Consider the following 18817-nt stretch of genomic DNA (forward strand, 5'->3'; position numbering starts at 1 on the left):
AAGTGACCTAGGCTGGATGGGTCCATCTCTTGACAAGGAGACATCAACCTGTGAATTGCACTTTGAGTTTTCATCATGCTTGACTCAACCCAGGGTTGGTCCATCAAACCCAGGAGCCTTTTAGGGGCAGCATAGGGAAGTGGCCAGGGGATGCCCAGGCTATGGGAGTCACTGCATGTGTGTGTCATGTGAGAAGTCCTGACACAAAGGTAACAAGCTGGGAGTGAGAGCCAGGTTCTGAGTGGTGCCCAGGTTGAAAAATGAAGGTGCTGGAATTAGGGAGGCAGGCCAGAGCCATCTGGCTTGCTGCCTGACAACACTTCCCCTTCCAGGACCACTTTTAACAGGCCACTCCCACACATGTCCCCTTCCCCGTGTCATCCTGTAGTCATGAGATATCACCTGAGGCTCAGGCATGTGAGATTCACCAGGAAGATCCCTAAATTTCAAATACAGCAATATTCAATAAGGGCAGAGACCCTGACAGTCTCAGATGCATCTTCAGGTGCTCAGTGTCTCTGAATAAATGAATGATGCATGGATGAGTGAGTGTCTTGGGTACCATAGGTCAGGCCCTAAGTGGGTCAGATTCAAAACTCAGCAGCACTTACGGACGTGTGCTGATTTTCCTACAACATTAAAAAAGTATCTAGAGGATGGCTATGATTCACACCAGGGGTACATGAGGCTGCACACTGCAGGGAACCAGGTCAATCCTTTACTTTCCCAGACAAAGGGAAACTTGCCTCAACAAAGTAATAAATTTCCTTTTCACAAACCTGAGATTGTCCAGAGGGCTTGTCTCCCAGCTTTGTCTTGGTGCCCTGCTCCAGCGGGCCAAGCTGGGGCTTAGAACACAGCCTGACCCTGAGATCACCGGACAGGATGGTATACTGCTTCTGTCTTCTCTGTGCCCTGCTGGGCAGGTGGCCAGATATCCCTTCTTGGCCTGGGAGCTGGGACCTTTTGAGCCCTTTCTAGGCCTGGTCTATAGCAGTGATCTTGGAGCCACTGCAACCCTAAAAACAGAGCAGCAACACTCATTCTTCCATGACAAGCCTTGTGGAGGAGGGTTATGGGTTAAGGACTCAGCATTTGCAAAGCAAGCCATCTCCTTCCACAATAAATATACATGCAAGAGAACCAGGGCATGGCAGGGGACAAAAGGAAACCAAATTTCTCTGGCACCGAAAAGCCATCAGAATTAGAATGTGGTAACCAGGAAACTATGTGGAGCTCTATTTTTACATTTGCAGTTTTGTTAGTGTAATGGCTTCCTCATGTGGATGCCACATTGTTAGAGCCTAATGATCTCCATGCACCTAACCCAGCGCTCGTTCACGATTATTATCCGATGAGTTGATGAGAGGTCTTTTACTTTTAACGTCTGTTGCAGACTAGCATTAGGAATCCCCCAGGCTTGTCAGCTGGAAGACCACCCTCACTGGTTAGATGTGAAACTGTCTGCTAGATCACGGTTGGGTACCTCTGGGGGGACAGAGTGCCGGGGAACATTTGGAGGAGGGTTTTACCAGAAAAGTGAGAAACACTGGCTTTCTCCAAGGCTCCTAGGGAAGAGGAGCAGGGTTCACTGCACTGCCTCTGCTCTGGTGCTAGCTAGTTGTCATGGTGACCCATCTCTGCCGAGGATACGCCGAGCTCTTTGATGGGTTGGATGGGGAGAGAGATTTCGGATTTGCCTGCCTTGTGGAAGAGCCTGCGCTCTTCTGAGCTTGAAGAAAACAGAGAAGAGAGGAAGAGAGGAGGCAACTGAAGGATTTCATTTTATGCCTTGCCCTCTCACTCCCAAAGTCACTTGGGGCATGACATGACTCATTCATTCATGTATTCTTTCATTCAATCTACAAACCATCAGTGAGTGTTTGCCTTGTGCTGAACACTGTGCTTGACACTGGGGTAAAAGACAAATAAGACTTTGACCTGCCTTCAAGATGTTCACAGCCCAGGGATTCACTCCAGTGAGACTTATCTAGAGAATTTGTTGGGATCCCAGAAGCTGTGCCCAGTGACCTGCCCCTATAGGGGTTGACAAGGCAGCCAGTCAGTCCTGCCTCCCTCGCTAGGCCCCATGGCATAAGGAGGGCACTGAGCTTATTATCCCATTTATAGAAGGATAATTGGGTGCTTTGGAGAGTACTCCATCAAATATTTATATAATTCACAGAATCCAGCATAGTTATTTGACAGTTATTGATCATGTTATTTCCATATCAATTTGTAGATGGCTGGGGGTTTGGGGGCTTTTTTTTGAAGCTCATGTATCTTCCCTTCCTGACCATGAACTCATCTTGCCCCCCATCACCTAGCACAGTGCCTGGCGGTCAGGGTTTGGTGAAGGTATGATTTGAATGAATGAGTAAGGAATCCAATGTAAGTGGTTGTAGAGCTCTAAAATTTGTCCTCTATCAGCCTGTTTCTTCTCTACCAGCTGAGAAAGACCAACCAGTCTTTCTCTGCTCCTTTCCCAATGTGCTTCTCTCTGTCTTCCAAGCTCACTGAATGGGTTTGGGGGGTGAGTGCAGAGTCTTTGAGCGGAGCAGGAGAAGGCCAAAGAGCTTTCTCAGCCTTGTGCCACTTTCTTAATCTGCTTGGACTCTGGGCATAGAGTCCAAACAAGGCTTTCTAGTATTTATATAGCAGGAGAATTTCCCATGATGACTTGCCTCCAACCTGGGGCACTGGGGATGTTCTTCATATATCCTGAAGGCCATCCACCAGCAGCTGCTCCTTCTGCCTCTGCCCTGGGGCAAGTGTGGAAATGCCCAGCCCACTGATGTTTGTACATGTGCCCTGACCCTCCCTGGCCCATCTGATTCTGTTGGTGACAGCCCAGCACTGGTCCCATCTGCTGACTCTCCCTTTGGTTGCAGTCAGCACTGGGTAGTGTATAGACCACCATCAGATCTTAATTTGGACAGCCAAGAGAAGCCAAGGCTGACGTTACCGCGTGCCCACATGTGTGAGGCTGTGTGCAGGAGGACTGGGAAAGGTTGCCCCAAGGCTTATGCAGATTCTTTAATGACTTCCACTTTGTGGCATGTTTGAATGAGCACTAAGTGGACCCACAATGAAGGGATCTTTTTCTCATCATAGTACGTGTTATCAGGAAAAAGCCAGAGCCTCCTCCCTGCCTCCTTCTCACACGAGGGTTGATATATAGAGAGAATGGGTGGGGCAGTGTGGAGTTTGGCCTCATACTAGGGCTGTTTTGCTTTTCTTCCTCTTTCTTCTCCCTTGTTGAGCTGGCTCCATCTTTAAGCCACAGTGAAGTTTTTCATGCCTTATGGATTTGAAATAGAGCAGGAATAGAGTATTCATTCTAAGAGAACTTGCAAAGCTAGTGTGCCTGGGGCAGGAGCAAGGAATGGTAACTACTCTCTGGGAGAGAAGTTTGTTCTGGGGGTTTCAAACCAAATCCAAGTATTCCTGGACTACAAATGACTTGCATCAAAGAACATAGGAAGTCAAAGCTCTAACAAACTTTATAGATCTCCCAAATTTGGCCTCCTTTTCAATGAGGGAGAGATGAGACTCAGAGAAGAGAAGTGACTTGCTCAGGACTGCATAGGAAGTTAGCAGGTGAACTAAACCAGGACCACTGCTTTCTGACTCCTTAAACACTAAAAAGAACTAAATGGTAATAATGACTATCACTTATTGAATACCCTACTATGTGCAGGGCATAGTGCCAAGTGCTTTACATAAAGTCCTTCATGAATACCTTATATAATCCTTTGAAGGTGTTATTATTACTCTGTGTTATGGATAGGAAACTCAGGCTCAGAAGGGTTATATAAAACCTGTCTGAGGACATCCAGCTAGGAGGCTGTGCCAGGATTCCATCCCAGGCTTGTCAAAAGGCCACACTCTTCTCTTACTCCCTGCCTTCCCAACTGCCGCCAGTACTCACTCAGTCGCACACTGTCCAAGCTCAACTCAGTCTCCCTTAGCCTCTGCCAAGCAATGAGGAAGGAAATGGGATCAGTGAGCCACAGTCCCTGCTCACATCTCCCTCAATCTGAGCAGGTCCCAGGATGCCACTGGCATCCCTGTCACTCCAAACCTATGTCATTTCATGCTGAGTTCACACTGCTGTGTTCTTTGCCCTCTGGGGACCTCCAGGCCAAGATGAGCCTTATGTCCCAGTCATCTGTGGAGAGAAGACATGCAGACAATTGACTAGAAAGTAGAAACAGTTCAGGGGCAGATGATATTAGCCGTGTTCTCAGAGCTTGAGCAGGTTGGTGCTGTTGTGGGGCAGAGGTGGCTTGGGAGTGCGAGGGTCTCTGGAGACTCTGTTGGATAAACAAAGCAGCAATCTAGGACCTGGTAGGCTTCCAGGAACTGGGACGGGAGGTCATAATAGCACTTGTAGCAGCAGCCGACACTTACCGTGGCTTACTGTGAACCAGGCATTGTTATAAGCACCTTTAATCCTTCTAACAACTGCATGAGGTTTGGAATCTAACTCCCTACTTGCCTTGCATCACAGCTTCCTCACTTGCTAGCTATGCAGCCTTGGGGAACTTATTTAGTCTGTCTGTGCCCCTGTGTCCTTGGTTGTAACCAGGGATGATAACAGTGCTTTCCTCATAGGGTTTTGTGAGAATTAAATGCATGGATATTGGTAAAGCGCTTAGAAGAATGGCTGATACATAAGAACTGCTCAATATGTGTTTGGTGTTATTTGTTATTGAGGCAAGTGATGTTATTATCACACCCACTTTGCAGATGAGGAAACTGGGATAGACAGGTTAAGTGGCTTGCCCAAGGTGGTCTAGCCAGGATTTGAACCCATGCAGCTGGTCTTCAGAGGTCATGCTCTTAACCATACGTTCTATGACCTCACTGGAGGGGAAGATGACTCAAGTCTGGGAGTTCTCCCAGGGAGGCCAGGAGAGGCAGTGGGATCACCAGCCTGGCTCTGGGAGGGGCTATGAAGGAAGAGGCCAGATAAGTAAGGTCATCCGAGGTACCTGCTGGAGGGGTTTGAAATAGAAACTGTAGGAGTCTGGATGCTATTTCTTTAGAGGAGTACAGGAGGAGGGAGGAGATTGACTTTTCAAGACAATATTTGGCTGGGAAGGGGATTTATCTCAAGGCAGTGGATTTGACCCAATGTTAGCCATTTCAGTGGAGTGGCAAGAATAGCAGAAGCTGGTCAGCTTGGAGCCTCTTTTCCCCGTGGCTACCTTGGACTCAGGCCCTCCCACTCTAAAAGGTGTGTGAGTGATTCTACGTGGTTTTTGCAACTATGAGTGCTCCACATATAGTACAAATCCCTTGCTCTCCAGATCCTGATTGTGGTCCCAGAAATCAAGAAATCTTGGCAAGACCCAGCTTCCCTGTTTCTCGCTGCACCAAGAAAACCAGGACCTCTGCATTGCCCAACTCCAGAGGAAATTCATATCCAATTGACAATTTTTGTTTTGTTTTGTTTTGTTTTTTGTTTTTTTGAGACAGAGTCTCACTCTGTCACCCAGGCTGGAGTGCAGTGGCACGATCTCAGCTCACTGCAAGCTCCGCCTCCTGGGTTGATGCCATTCTCCTACCTAACCCTCCCAAGTAGCTGGGACTACAGACGTCCACCACCACACCTGGCTATCTTTTTTTTTTTTGTATTTTTAGTAGAGACGGGGTTTCACTGTGTTAGCCAGGATGGTTTCAATCTCCTGACCTCGCGATCTGCCCGCCTCAGCCTCCCAAAGTGCCAGGATTACAGGCGTGAGCCATTGCACCCAACCCATTTGCCAATTTTTTATAAAGCACTTACTGTGTTCCAGGTGTTATTCTAGAAGCTTGGAATACATTTGTGGACAAAATAGGCAAAGACTTCTACACTTGTGGGCCCTTTATGATGTAGCCTAGAGCTGTGCAGTGTACAACCTGTGCAGCTGTACGTGATCTACATGGTGGCCCTGGAGAAGCCCCAGCTCTGGAATATGTCTCCCACCCTAAGGAGCAGGAGCAGAGCTTTGGCCTCATGACATTCCTGGGACTATAAGCAACAGCAGTCTGTGGGCCACCCCCCTTCGCCCTGAGTGCTTGAATAGATGAGGAAGGTGATAAACTTTCCCCTGTAGTTTTCCTAGAGAATTACCCCCTATACCCAATACCTACCTGTCCTTGACTTGGCAGCCTCTTAGCAGATTTTTAGAGACTCCACTCTCCAACCTGCAGCGATCTGCTTCAGCTCCTCCTAGGAAATCCCAACCCCTTGTTTAGTTCTCCATGTGTCTATGAGCCATGGACAGGTTCTGGGAAAAAGGACACTGAAGGAGAGGTGGCCTGGTTGACAGGAATCTCTCCAGCTCAGACTGCTCCATACAGCTTTAGAGGTTGTTATCCAGGGAGCTGTGGAGCAGTTACAAGTTTCAGCTATGGGAGGCGGAACTATTTGCTAAACTTCCACCACTGCTGCTCCCTACTTCTCTGGCCAATCCAGGTAAGCCTCACCTCCAGTGCAGCTCTGAAGATCTGGCCCCTCAGATCTTTGCCCCATGCCTGGGCAGAGATTGGCCAGCCCTCCTTATAACTCTGAACTATTGTCTCCCTGGGAAGGCCCAGGGCAGACAGAGAGCCTGCAGAGGGGGCTTTATCTCAAGAAGTGCTGGCTCCATGCCAGTCTTGGCCAAGGCTGAAGTCTCCCTCCAGCACCACTGAATGGGCAGAAACTGGAACACACCATCCCAAGACCCCCCAAACCCCTTTGTAAGAGGATTAGGGTCCCCTGGTGAGAGACTTCCCTCCCCACTATAAGGCTGCGGGCAGGCTTACACAGAAGGAGCTCTGGAGAGAGGCAGTTGAAGAGAGAGGTGACACAGACACAATAGCCAGAGAGATTAAGTGCTGAGAATTACCCCAGCCACAATATTCATCCTTTAAAAGGGCGGAAGGAATAAAAAACTTGCCTTCCTGGGTGGTGGGAGTCCCAGGCTTCAGAGGGAGCTGAAGATAATTAAAGGTCAGGACATAGGAAGGTTCAGCAAGTGTGGAGTCATCCACGTGAGACCAGATGAGCCCAGGGAGGAGGGGAGAGCGGAGAAATGCTCAGTTGTCCCTTCTCTCAAGAAAATCCTTCCAGGAGAAGGAAATGAGAGTGTCCTGTGGTATGAATGACTGAGGTCAGATAAATAAGAGAACTTCCTGGCAGGAGGAAAGCTCAGCCCCAGTGGAAGTGGAAGGAGAACAGCCTGAGGTTCATATAAACACTGGCACAGTCCAGGGGCAAAAGCTGACCTCATGAGCTCACAGCATCCTTCCTGCTGAAGAATCTGAGGTTGCATGCAGGCAGGAGGGAGCACAGAGGTGGCAAGCCCCTTGTGATGACATCAGGCCCTGTGAAAGGCAACGTTCTCATCATGGCATTGGAACTCCCACCTATCACGCCAATGAATACTCTTAACATTTGCAGAGCAATTTTTATATGCCAAGTAATTGCCAGTGATTATTCTATTAAAATTCATTGAAATATGAGTCCATGGCATTCCTCTGTGAGGTTTAATACCTCATTCAAAAACCTAACAAAACTCTAATAAAGCACAGAAGTACCAACTGAGAAAATGAGTGCAGCCACAAAATGGGAATATCTTTCTCTCTAGGGTAGTAAGAAGGCCAGGTTTCTTTAAACCATCTGTCCCAGCTGGTTCAGACTAAGATGGGTAAAAGCTTCTCATTACTTTCGCAGTTGTCTTTACTTTTTTAGAGTCAGGAATCTCTTTAAGAATTTGACTGATATTACAATATATCCCCCCAGATAAATGGACATATTCACAGTATTTGGCTTATGTTTGATGGCTGGTACTGTGGACCTCCAGAATCCAGTCTGTGAACATAGATTAAGAAGTTCTGTTCTAGGGTAGTGATGTCATCACTGTGTTGACAAGGTCACCACAGGTTTGGGCCTTGTGCTTTTCCTCATCAGGTTTTTGGGTTTGTGTGGCCCACAGTGAATTAAGAGGATTTATTACAGAGTAAGACTATCTCCAAGGTCCCTCTTAGTGTTGTGATTTAATGACCTTAAAACAACCAATTCTTCATGGACAGGTCAAATTAAACTCTAGATTTGCCCATCCCGAAGGACACATGCTCACACAAGGAGTTTGCTTGTCCCCATCCAACACATGGGCACAGCCACAGGCACACACCCTACCCTCTCCTTCCTTTGCCTGCCTGGAGTTTTCCCTCACCGGCCTGCAGTTGCCATGACAACTGATCTGGGTGGGTCATGGTCTAAGGGCGATGTACCTGGGTGGTGCAGAGCTCTGCTGAGGCCCAGTGTGCAATATCCACCCCAGTGGTGTGTATGGGACAGTTGCCATGGCAACATACAGGAAAAGCACATGTGGGAAACATCTGGACTTCTTATCCTGGGCTCTTTATTAGCCTGAGGAGCACAGGGATCTGATTTTAAATGAGTACAGTTTCAGACAGAGTACCCTAGATTAGGTGTTCTTCTGCCTTTCCCTACTAGAAGCCCCTGAGCAGAGGGAGCAGAGATTCTCTAGCTCCTCCCTCCACCCAATTTCTTAGATGACCAGCTGCATATATTCTCTTAAGGCCACATAGCAAATCAAGAAGACAACCCAGAACCCCCAAGGCTTGACATTAGGGAAGTCCTCAGAAGACCCTGACTTGTTGGGACTGTCAGGTCCACTAAAAGTGGACCAAGACCCCAGGACATAGGTCATGGGGCTGAGCTATGAAGCGACTGGTGTTGCTACAGACCACCAGCTCTGTCTGAAGGATTCTCCTCTGCCACATTCTCACTCCCAGGATTCTGTGGGGCAGTCTTAATGTGACTGCAGTCCTAGATCATGCAGACTTCAGGTGCAGCAGATGTCTGGGTTACAGGAGCTCCTCAGCAGGACAGGCAGGAGAGTCAGGGCCCTCCTTCCCATTCTTCACTCACCCTTCTAATACCCAGTCCCCATTTCTCTGCCAGGATCCCAGACTTTCCTGCTGTGGGGTTCTATATGTCTTGGAATCACATGCAGTTATTATATTAAGCAAGTCTCTAGAAATAGCTGCATGGTAATAGCATGAAGTTATGGGAAGATGTGGAACACACACAGACCTATATTCAAATTCTGATTCCACCAGCAGCCTGCTGTGTGGTCTTGGGCAAGTGTATGTCTCTATAAAATGAAGATAATGACAGCCCCTGCTTCAAAGGCTTTTATGAAATGATGAACATTACATGTCTAAGAGGGTCCCTGGCAATAGGAGGTGCTTAGTAACTGTAAGATCCCCTGTCTTTCAGTTCAGCAAGGATCAGTGAGCCCTTACTAACTAACCTATGTAGGGCACTTAACAATTCAGCTGGCAGAAGAGGATATCTCCGTGGGATATAAGTAGGCAGAATGTGGGTACCCAGCCCCTGACTATAATCAGTGGGTAGGAAAGGCAGAGCGGTGTGCGATGGGGTAGTCATAAGGCCTCCTGGAGGAGGTGGCTCTGAAGCTGGGCCTTGAGGGGAGAATTGGATTTGAATTCATATAACAGAAGGCATTCAGGAAAAGGGCAGAGCAAAGCAAAGGTGCAGGGGTGGGGTCAGGCCTGGAGCAGGGGCATTTAGAGGAAAGCATTAGAGGTCAAAGTTGTCAGCAGGTGAAGCCAGAGTGGGGAAGGGCTTGAGTACTGCGTGTTGGCCAGCACTGGCCTCTAAGGCAGCCAGATAGCAGAGGCCAGGGGACTGTCCTTTCCTGGGAAGCCAGCGAGGTCATCAGGTCAGAGATATGCTTCTCTGCAGGACATCATGGAGTTCTGGCTTTAAAAGAAGGAAGGTCTCAATGCTTGGAGATCTGGACCCCACTCCCCAAGGAGGGGAAGGAGAAACCCCGTGCCTTGTTGTGCACTGCCAGGGCTCCTCTGCTGAGAAACCAGTCACGAGAAATAGAAGTCCTGTGTTCTAGCCTGGGGGCCGGGACACTTGGGAGAAGCAAGTGTCCAGCCCTGAGAAGAAGAAGCCCAGCCCTGAGTCAGACCTCCCTAGCCCCCTGACTTTCTAGCTGAGAAACCCTTGGCTGAAGGAGGGGCCAGTTTTTTGGATTCCAGCCCCTATCCTCCCCTCCCACGTCTGGAACAGGCCCTCCCAAGAGCCTTCAACCAGTTTCCACTCCCTCCAGGACGACAAAGCCCCGAGAACCCTGCCTCTGAAGGGAGAGCCTGTGCCCCGTCCCCATCCCAGCTTGGGGGGCCCCGGCCTCCAGCTGGGGACATGGGCTTCAGGCTCTGGTCTTGTTTACTTGTGTGACTAGAGGTGACTTGTTTTCCTTCTAAGGGACCTCATTTCCGACCCTGTCCTTTCACACGGTGGGCAGGCTCATCCCTGCTCTATCCTTGCCCTGTTGGTGTAGAAATTTGTGTCCAGGCAGCTGTGAGCTCCAAGGAATGTGAGTTGTAGCTTAGAATTTCTCGGCATTCCCACCCTTCTGGAAGCTCCCCCGAGACGGTTGAGCTAGAGGGCAGACCGAGGCCCATGACCTCTGGCTCCACTCCCAGCCTCTAGTTTTCTCTGCCTCATTTTCCCCAATAGACAGGAAGACAATAAATCTCTCTCTGGAGCCCACACACCTGATCTGTAGCCCAGAGGAAAAATCCCCAACCACTGAACTCAGGGAGTCTTCTGGGGCCAGAGAGGGTGAGCCGGGGACCTGCAGTGTCCACAGAAATATCTCAACTACCAATGCCCTGGAGAAGCAAAGGCAGTGGCTGGGCTAATGGACCAATCTAGGAAGTCTTCCTGGATGAGGTCCTGGAGGTGTGAGCCACTCAGAGCATCCATATTGGACCACTGTGTCTAGTGTCTCCTTTTTTTTCAGCAAGTGGGAGTGGGGGATGGGGCTGAAGTCCCAGCTGGGATTACTGCCTGGGCTGTGAGGATACCTTGCCCACTTTTCCCCCTGTCTCCCAGAAGTGTGGTGAAACTATCCCCATGCCTCTGGACAGAGCAGAGATTTAGGGGCAGAAGAGGGTCTCAGCCCTGAATGCCCCAAGGTCATTCCTCTGAAGAACTGGAGCTTCCTTCAAAGGAGCAAGGCAAGGGTCTACTGGCCTCACTCTGGCCCAGGGCTTCAGGGAAGGGAGAAAAGATGCTGCTGGGCCACCATCCCAGAAGCTTGGCTTCCATTCCACACACCAGCTGCACTGTGTCTTGCCACGGGGTATTAAGAGGTCACTGCTGTTTACAATTCCCTACACATCTGTTCCGAGTCACGCATTCATTCATTTAATCAATCGTCATTCACCAAATATTTTTGAGAGCCCACTGTGTGCACAGAGCTGGGATGGGTTTTGAGAAAAAGTTCAACTGAAGATGAATCCTTGGGAAGCACCAATAGGTGAATGACGAATGACAGCCCTGAACATTAGGAAATGATTAAAGTGGCTGCAGTGAACTGCGTGGGGAGAGTCAGGGAAGGCGGCCTAGAGGAGGCGGATTTGGCCTCAAGCGGGGCCGGGGAGAAGAGAGGACTCTAATTCTACCTCCAAAACCAGCTCCTCCTGAAGCCTTCCCATTTTGCTTGATGGCAACTCCAATCTTAGAGCTGTCCAGGCCCAAATCCTTGGGGGACATTCTTGGTTCCTCTCTTTCCCACACACCCACATTTGGCCAATAGCAAATTCTAACAGCTTCAAAATATATGCAGAGCCTGACCACTTCTCACTACCACCACAGTCACCGCCCAGTTCCAAGCCACCATCATCTCTCACTTGGGTGACTGCAACTGCTTCTGCCCTTGAGCCCAGCAATTTGCTCCCCAAATAGCAGCCAAAGTGGCCTTTTCAAGAGGGAAGCCAGGTCATGTCACTCTCTGCTCCCAGCCTACCAAGGCTCCCATCTCACTGGAAGTAAAGCTTTGGGTTGCTTAAGAAGTCCCATGTTTTGGGTGCTCAAAAAGTCCCTGCTGATAGCTGGAATGACATGAGGGAATGACATGGTGGAGAAAAGGACAAAAAGAAGTGGGGAACAATGGCTAGAGGGCTTTCCACAAAGGCAGGGGTGTTGGCATCTGCTAGGCAGGTGATGAGGAGACCTTATGGTAGGCATCTAAGCAGAGAAAACGTATAGAAAATGCTTGTCACTGAGTTGGGCAGTGACAACTCCATGCTGGTCCAGAGTGAGTGGGCTAGGCTTGAAGAGCCATGTGGCTGGGTTCCCAGCCCTTGCTCTCCAGATCCTGACTGTGGTCCCAGAAATCAAGAAAAACCTCCCCTGCTCTGCCCTTAACCCTGGAGGAAGCCAAGTATGGGCTCATGTGCCCCCTTCTCCCTCCCGCAAATCTCCCCTTCTCCCAAGGTCACCTTCCTTCATTCCTTCCCTCCCTCCCTCCTTTCTTTCTCTTTTTCTTCCCTTCCTTCCTTTCTCTCTCTCTCTTTTTCTCTTTCTTCCCTTTATTCCCTTCCTTCTCTCTTTCTTTCTCTTCCTTCCTCCTTCCTTTCCTTCCTTCCCTTTTCTTTCTTTTTTTCCTTCCTCCCTCCCTCCCTCCTTCCTTCCCTTCCTCTTTCTTTCTTCCCTTTCTTCTCTCTTTCTTTCTTTCCTTCTTTTTCTTTCTCTCTCCCCTCCCTTCCTTCCTTCCTTCCTTCCCTCCTTTCTTCCTTTCTTCCTTCCCTCCTTTCTTCCTTTCTTTCTCGGAGTCTTGGTCTGTCGCCCAGGCTGGAGTGCAGTGGCGCGATCTCGGCTCACTGCAGGCTCCGCCTCCCGGGTTCACACCATTCTCCTGCCTCAGCCTCCCAAGTAGCTGGGACTACAGTCGCCCGCCACCACACCCAGCTAATTTTTTGTTTGTTTGTTTGTTTGTTTTAGTACAGACGGGGTTTCACCGTGTTAGCCAGAATGGTCTCAATCTCCTGACCTCGTGATTCACCCAAAGTGCTGGGATTACAGGTGTGAGCCACCGCACCCGGCCTCTTTCTTTCTTTTTTTCTTTCTTTCTTTCTTTCTTTCTTTCTTTTTTCCCTTTCTTCCCTTCCTTCTCTTTCTTTCTTCCTTCCTCCTTTCCTTCCACCTTCCTTCCCTTTCCTTTTCCTTCCTTCCTTCCTCCCTCGCTCCTTCCTTCCCTTCCTTCCCTCCCTCTCTTTCTTCCCTTTCTTCTCTCTCTTTCTTTCTTTCTTTCTTCCCTTCCTTCCTTTCTTCCCTCCCTCCCTCCTTCTTTTCTTTTCTTTTCTCTTCTCTTTTCTTTTCTTTCTCGGAGTCTTGCTCTGTCGCCCAGGCTGGAGTGCAGTGGCGCCATCTCGGCTCACTGCAGGCTCCACCTCCCGGATTCACGCCATTCTCCTGCCTCAGCCTCCCAAGTAGCTGGGACTACAGGCGCCCACCACCACACCTAGCTAATTTTTTGTTTGTTTGTTTTAGTAGAGAAGGGGTTTCACCGTGTTAGCCAGGATGGTCTCAATCTCCTGACCTCGTGATCCGTCCGCCTTGGCCTCCCAAAGTGCTGGGATTACAGGTGTGAGCCACCGTGCCTGGCCTCTTTCTCTCTTTCTTTCTTTTTCTCTTTCTTTCTTTCTTTCTTCCTTCCTTCCTTCTTTCCCTTCCTTCCTTCCTCTCTCTCTTTCTTCCCTTTCTTCCCTTCCTTCTCTTTCTTCCTTCCTTCCTCCTTCCTTCCCTTCCTTCTCTTCCCTTTTCTTTCTTTCTTTCCTTCCTTCCTCCCTCCTTCCTTCCCTCCCTCTCTTTCTTTCTTTCTTCCCTTCCTTCTCTTTCTTTTTCTTTCTTTCTTTCTTCCCTTCCCTCTCTTCTTTCTTTCTTTCTTCCCTCTCTTCTTTCTTTCTTTCTTTTTCCTCTCCCTTTCTCCTCTCCCTTCCCTTCCCTTCCCTCCTTCCTTCTTTCTCTTTTTTTTCTTTTTTTTTGAGACAGGGTCTCACTCTGTGGCACAGTAGTGCAACCTCAGCTCACCACAACCTCCGCCTCCCAGGCTTAAGTGATTCTCCTCCCAAGTAGCTGGAATTACAGACATGTGCCACTATCGCCCAGCTAATTTTTGTATTTTTAATAGGAACAGGGTTCCACCATGTTGGCCAGGCTAGTCTCGAACTCCTGACCTCAAATGATCCACTTGCCTCAGCCTCCCAAAGTGCTGGGATTACAGGCATGAGCCACCAAGCCAGGCCCCAAGGTCACCTTTCAAGGTCAATGAGCTGGGGACAGCCTTCCCACCCTCTCCTCTCTTTGGCTCTCCCTGACCCCCAGTTCTCCTAACACAGTCCCAACTGACAGATTCCCCAGACCCCCCACAGACACCTGGGTTACATCCGTTTCTAATCACAGGGGTGTGAGAATGTGATATCACACAGCATGCGTCTCCTTGGCTGTATGCCTACATCTTCATTCCTCAAATTGCTTTAAGTTATCTGTCAACAGATGTAGTCAAATCACTCATCCTATCGCCATTCCAGAAACTACCAATGACTTTGGAAAGAGGAGTGGGATGATGAGCTGGTCTTTGGGGCGCTGAGGATTGGGGACTTTCATGTTCCAAACCAGCCTCTTTCTGCACCTCCCCTTTAGAAACTTGGTTACTGACTTCACCAGCACCCACTGCCTGCCCAGCCAGGCCTCTCCCTCATCACATAACCTCTTCATTGATCATTGATGGTAGAATCTCTCTTCAGAGGACAATTTGAAGCCTGTCATTCTAGAGAAGGGGTAAATGGCCGAGTGGGAGGGGCTCAGGGCTGGGTTTGGAGATAATGTGACAGGGCAGGTCCTTCTCTTTTTAGGAATCACTCGAGGAACCATTCTGCACATACTGGTTTTATCAACTGATGCTGGAATGGCTGTTGCCACAGCAGCAGAGTGCTCCCACTGCAGTAGAGGATAGTGGGAAACTCATGGGATGTGAAAAGAATCAAAAAAGAGCCAGATAGAGGGAGAGGTCACATTAGGGAGTGTCAGAAACTTCCTGGATGCCAAGATGGCTATTTAAAGGGACCACCACCTGGCCATAGCAAGACCCTTTAAAGAATGACAGTGCACAGAGACTGGCACTCAAGGGGATTGGCACTGAATTAACCCATGAGATGTGCATAGAAGGTGTCTTCCATTTTATAAACTGACAGGTGACATTTCATGCAGGACAGAGTGTGGAGCACTAGGTTTAGGTGGTAGGGAGGAGGCTTCTCTTATTGACAACACTTTTTTCTCTTCTCAAAAGAAGCAGAATTTCAGGAGCCATTTATTGAAGGAAGGGAAAGGACTTGGGATTTGGGGAATAGGATATCCCATGAGAGCATGAGACAAGGTACAGAGGAACAAAGAGGAATAAAGACAGGGGAAGGGACCAGGCCAAAACACCAGATCAAATGAGACAGCAAGATAACCAGGAAGGCAGGAAGGAAGATCTGGCCCTGGGGAGGGGGCATAAGGTGACAAGCAAATGCAAGTGGACAGAGCAACAAATGGAATCATGTTTCGCAGCAGTTCTAAAGAATTTGAGAGCCCATTACTGGGTATATACCCAAAGGATTATAAATCATGCTGCTATAAAGACACATGCACACGTATGTTTATAGCGGCACTATTCACAATAGCAAAGACTTGGAACCAACCTAAATGTCCAACAACGATAGACTGGATCAAGAAGATGTGGCACATATACACCATGGAATACTATGCAGCCATAAAAAATGATGAGTTCATGTCCTTTGTAGGGACATGGATGAAACTGGAAACCATCATTCTCAGCAAACTATCGCAAGGACAAAAAACCAAACACCGCATGTTCTCACTCACAGGTGGGAATTGAACAATGAGAACACATGGACACAGGAAGGGGAACATCACACACTGGGGACTGTTGTGGGGTGGGGGGAGGGGGGAGGGATAGCATTAGGAGATATACCTAATGCTAAATGACCAGTTAATGGGTGCAGCACACCAACATGGCACATGTATATGTATGTAACAAACCTGCACCTTGTGCACATGTACCCTAAAACTTAAATTATAATAATAATAAAATAAAATAAAATAAAAGGATTTGAGAGGGACTAACCTACAGACATGGGTGTCAGAGATGAGGGACCAAATTAAACCATGGGAGAGGGCACCAGGTTTTGCTCACAGCAGAATACACTGGGTGGAATGTGTCACAGTGAAAATAAGCTTTCTCAGCCAGGATGGTAGCCAGTGAATTTCCCTTTGTCTGCTAAGGAGAAGATGAATTTACATGCAGAAAGAGGATATAGAGACAGCAAGTAAGAGCAACTGTAACCTGGTAAGTCAGAGAATAGGTGTTGTCGGATTCTCAAATTGCTATTTTTAGGAAAGGTGTGGTTCTCATGTGATTGAATTAGGGGCATCTTGTATAAATTAGAGAATGACCAATGAGTAAGGATGAGGACTGTAGAAGTGATGGCTTGTGACTTCATTACAAGTACCCTGAAGGATGGGGTAGGAAGAGCATGGTCATGCTTACTCAAAGATTTGGCACCAAAGATGGGGCTTGATCCCTTGCTTGAGCTGGGACCTCATGTTTGGACATAAGCATGGGTACTTCGTGTGTGCCCAGAAAAGAAAGTCCCATGATTGGCCTCATCCTTTGGGCACTCTCTGTGCCTTGGCCAAGTTCTGGCATGATACCACTCACATTCCTTTAACCAGTTCTTCACTGCTTGTCATTTCCTATCTGGAACCACGAACCCTAGTTCCACCCCTGAGTTTCCTAATGCTCGACATAAGCCTCTGAAGCCAATCTGCATTGTGCATTGCAGATGGTACAGAATCCTCTTGTAAACCTGTCCTCCACTCCTCTTGTTATTCTTATAATTGGAATATATACACCCATGTCCGTCTACCTGAGATGAATGTGTTGATGTGTGTGACATTGCTTTTTTCACAGGGACAGGATTATTATTTTCCCAAGTCTTGTATTGTCTACCTTGTATTCCCTGCCAGACAGGAAATACAAGAGTCCAGAGTTCCTCAAGGACAGAATCGCCACCTTTTTTTCTATGTCTCCAAGACAGCCAAGAGTCCATGCTTCTTACCAAACACTTCTCTGCTTGAGAACTCTATATTCTCGTGCCACTTATCCTTTCTGCTATGATCCCTGTCACGGCAGATTTTATGGCATCTCAATCTGGAAGGCAGAGAGTCCTGAGATAACACCAGAACCCAAGAGTCATGCAGGGTACAAACCCAGCGTACAGTGCTCAGGCCTCCAAATCCATTTAACCAACAGAGTTGCAACACCTGCTCCATGCAAGGTGCTGAGTGACACAGTTCTACACCCGGAGAGATCCTGCGCTGGCGGGGGAGACAGATAGAGACACAAATACATTTCACACCAGGCAGCAGGTGATGATTAGTGTTAGGAGAGTGTGTGAACCATGAGACTCACACACAGCGTTCTTCAGATTCTAGGAGAAAGGGAGGAAAGGAGCTAGAGAGATGGAGGTTGGGTTTGGGGTGGGGAGATAATCTGATGGTTAGACATTCTGGCAAAAAGTTCTTAGGGCTTTATAATCCCTAGAGTGTGGCTCCACCTGGGCCTACCCCTCCTGGAGCAAGCTTTGCTTTCAGAGAATTCCCCTCCACTTTCTCCTGAGAGCCTTTTGCTCAGGCAACCTGGCTGTGACTTGGGAGGCCATTTGAGGATGGGCAGTGTCCCCTCTACTGAGGTACAGTCCTAGGCAAACTGCAGACTACTCCATCTGGCTCTTGTTCCCCCTCCACCTCATCCCTGTCCCCTGGGTCCAGTTAGGAGGAAAGGAAGAAGGGCTTGGGAAACATCTTTTAAAAGCACTCTGCTGCTCTGCTTAACTCTGGCAGGCAAGGGACCCAGTGCAAAGCCTCCTCTTGATTCCCTAGGTTTGACACAGGCCTTTACAGTTCCAAAGCCCTTCTACCTGTGAAGCTGGTATTATAACCACTATAAAAGAAAACAGAACCAGAGGGGTTCAATGACTTTGACAAGGTCACATTGCTAATTGGAATAGAAACCCAGTTTCCTGATCTCAAGAGTTACTCCTTCCCCTACAAAGCCCTCAGCCCCCTCCCCAGTCAACGCTAGGCCCCTTCTCTCCAAGCCACCCGTGTCCTACCCCCATCCCCTACCTCCTGGGCTCAGGAGGGCAACCTTGAGCCTCAGAGACTGAAGTAGGGCGGGACTGGGAGTTTCCTGGGGGAAAACCAAAGACGGTTTGGGGTTGGGGGAGGGGAATGAGCACCCTGGATACCATTCCTCCACCCCTCTCCCGACATCTCTCTCAGGCCCACGGGCCCACTTTCCCTCCCGCATTCTGAGCCGCCCTCCCTCCGTCTCTTTTACCTGCACCTCCACACCTCCTCAACAGATCTTTATCCTGGACACGGCAGGGGGTCCCCGTGCCCTCCGAGAATCCAAGAACCCGCCCCGCTTCTACGCGGAAAGCTGGGAGAAAAACTGCTTTTCCTTTATTTCCCCCTACCCCCCACTCATCCGCCCCTGGAGCTCCGCTCGCAGATACCTCCCCCTCCCGAGCCAGAAATAGACACACTATCTCTCCCCCACCTCCCTCCCCGTGCGCACACTCGCTCCCCTCCTCCTGTTTGCTCCCCGCCTTCCCCTTCCCTCCTTCCTCTGCTCGGAGCTGCAGCCTGCAGCCTCGACTCGGGCTGGCTGGCTGGCTGAGTGCGGCCGGGGCGCTGCCCGGCAGTGCGGTGTCCACGGGACTGACAGGCAGGCAGGCCGCGGGCTGGGATCCGGACACCAAAGCAAAAGCACCGCTGGGCGCCGGAGGAGCCGCGGGGCTTCCATCCTTCCTTTGACTGATTTTTAAATTTTAATTTGTATTTTCCCCGCCGCCCCGCCCC

General features: G+C 49.2%; 1 protein-coding gene and 1 long non-coding RNA gene across 4 annotated transcripts in view; one reads left to right on the forward strand and one right to left on the reverse strand.

The window, feature by feature from the left end:
* The window catches only part of LOC124904482 (uncharacterized), a 48139-nt gene extending 29734 nt beyond the window's left edge, over window positions 1-18405 (reverse strand). Inside the window, exon 1 of the long non-coding RNA XR_007066789.1 lies at window positions 780-18405. This is a non-coding gene — a long non-coding RNA (uncharacterized LOC124904482). The remainder of the gene's footprint in view (window positions 1-779) is intronic.
* Window positions 1-18817, forward strand: part of NAV1 (neuron navigator 1) — a 287843-nt gene that overhangs the window by 90453 nt on the left and 178573 nt on the right. The window lies entirely within an intron of this gene.

Source organism: Homo sapiens, chromosome 1 (genome assembly GCF_000001405.40).
Source record: "Homo sapiens chromosome 1, GRCh38.p14 Primary Assembly".
NCBI lineage: Eukaryota > Metazoa > Chordata > Mammalia > Primates > Hominidae > Homo > Homo sapiens.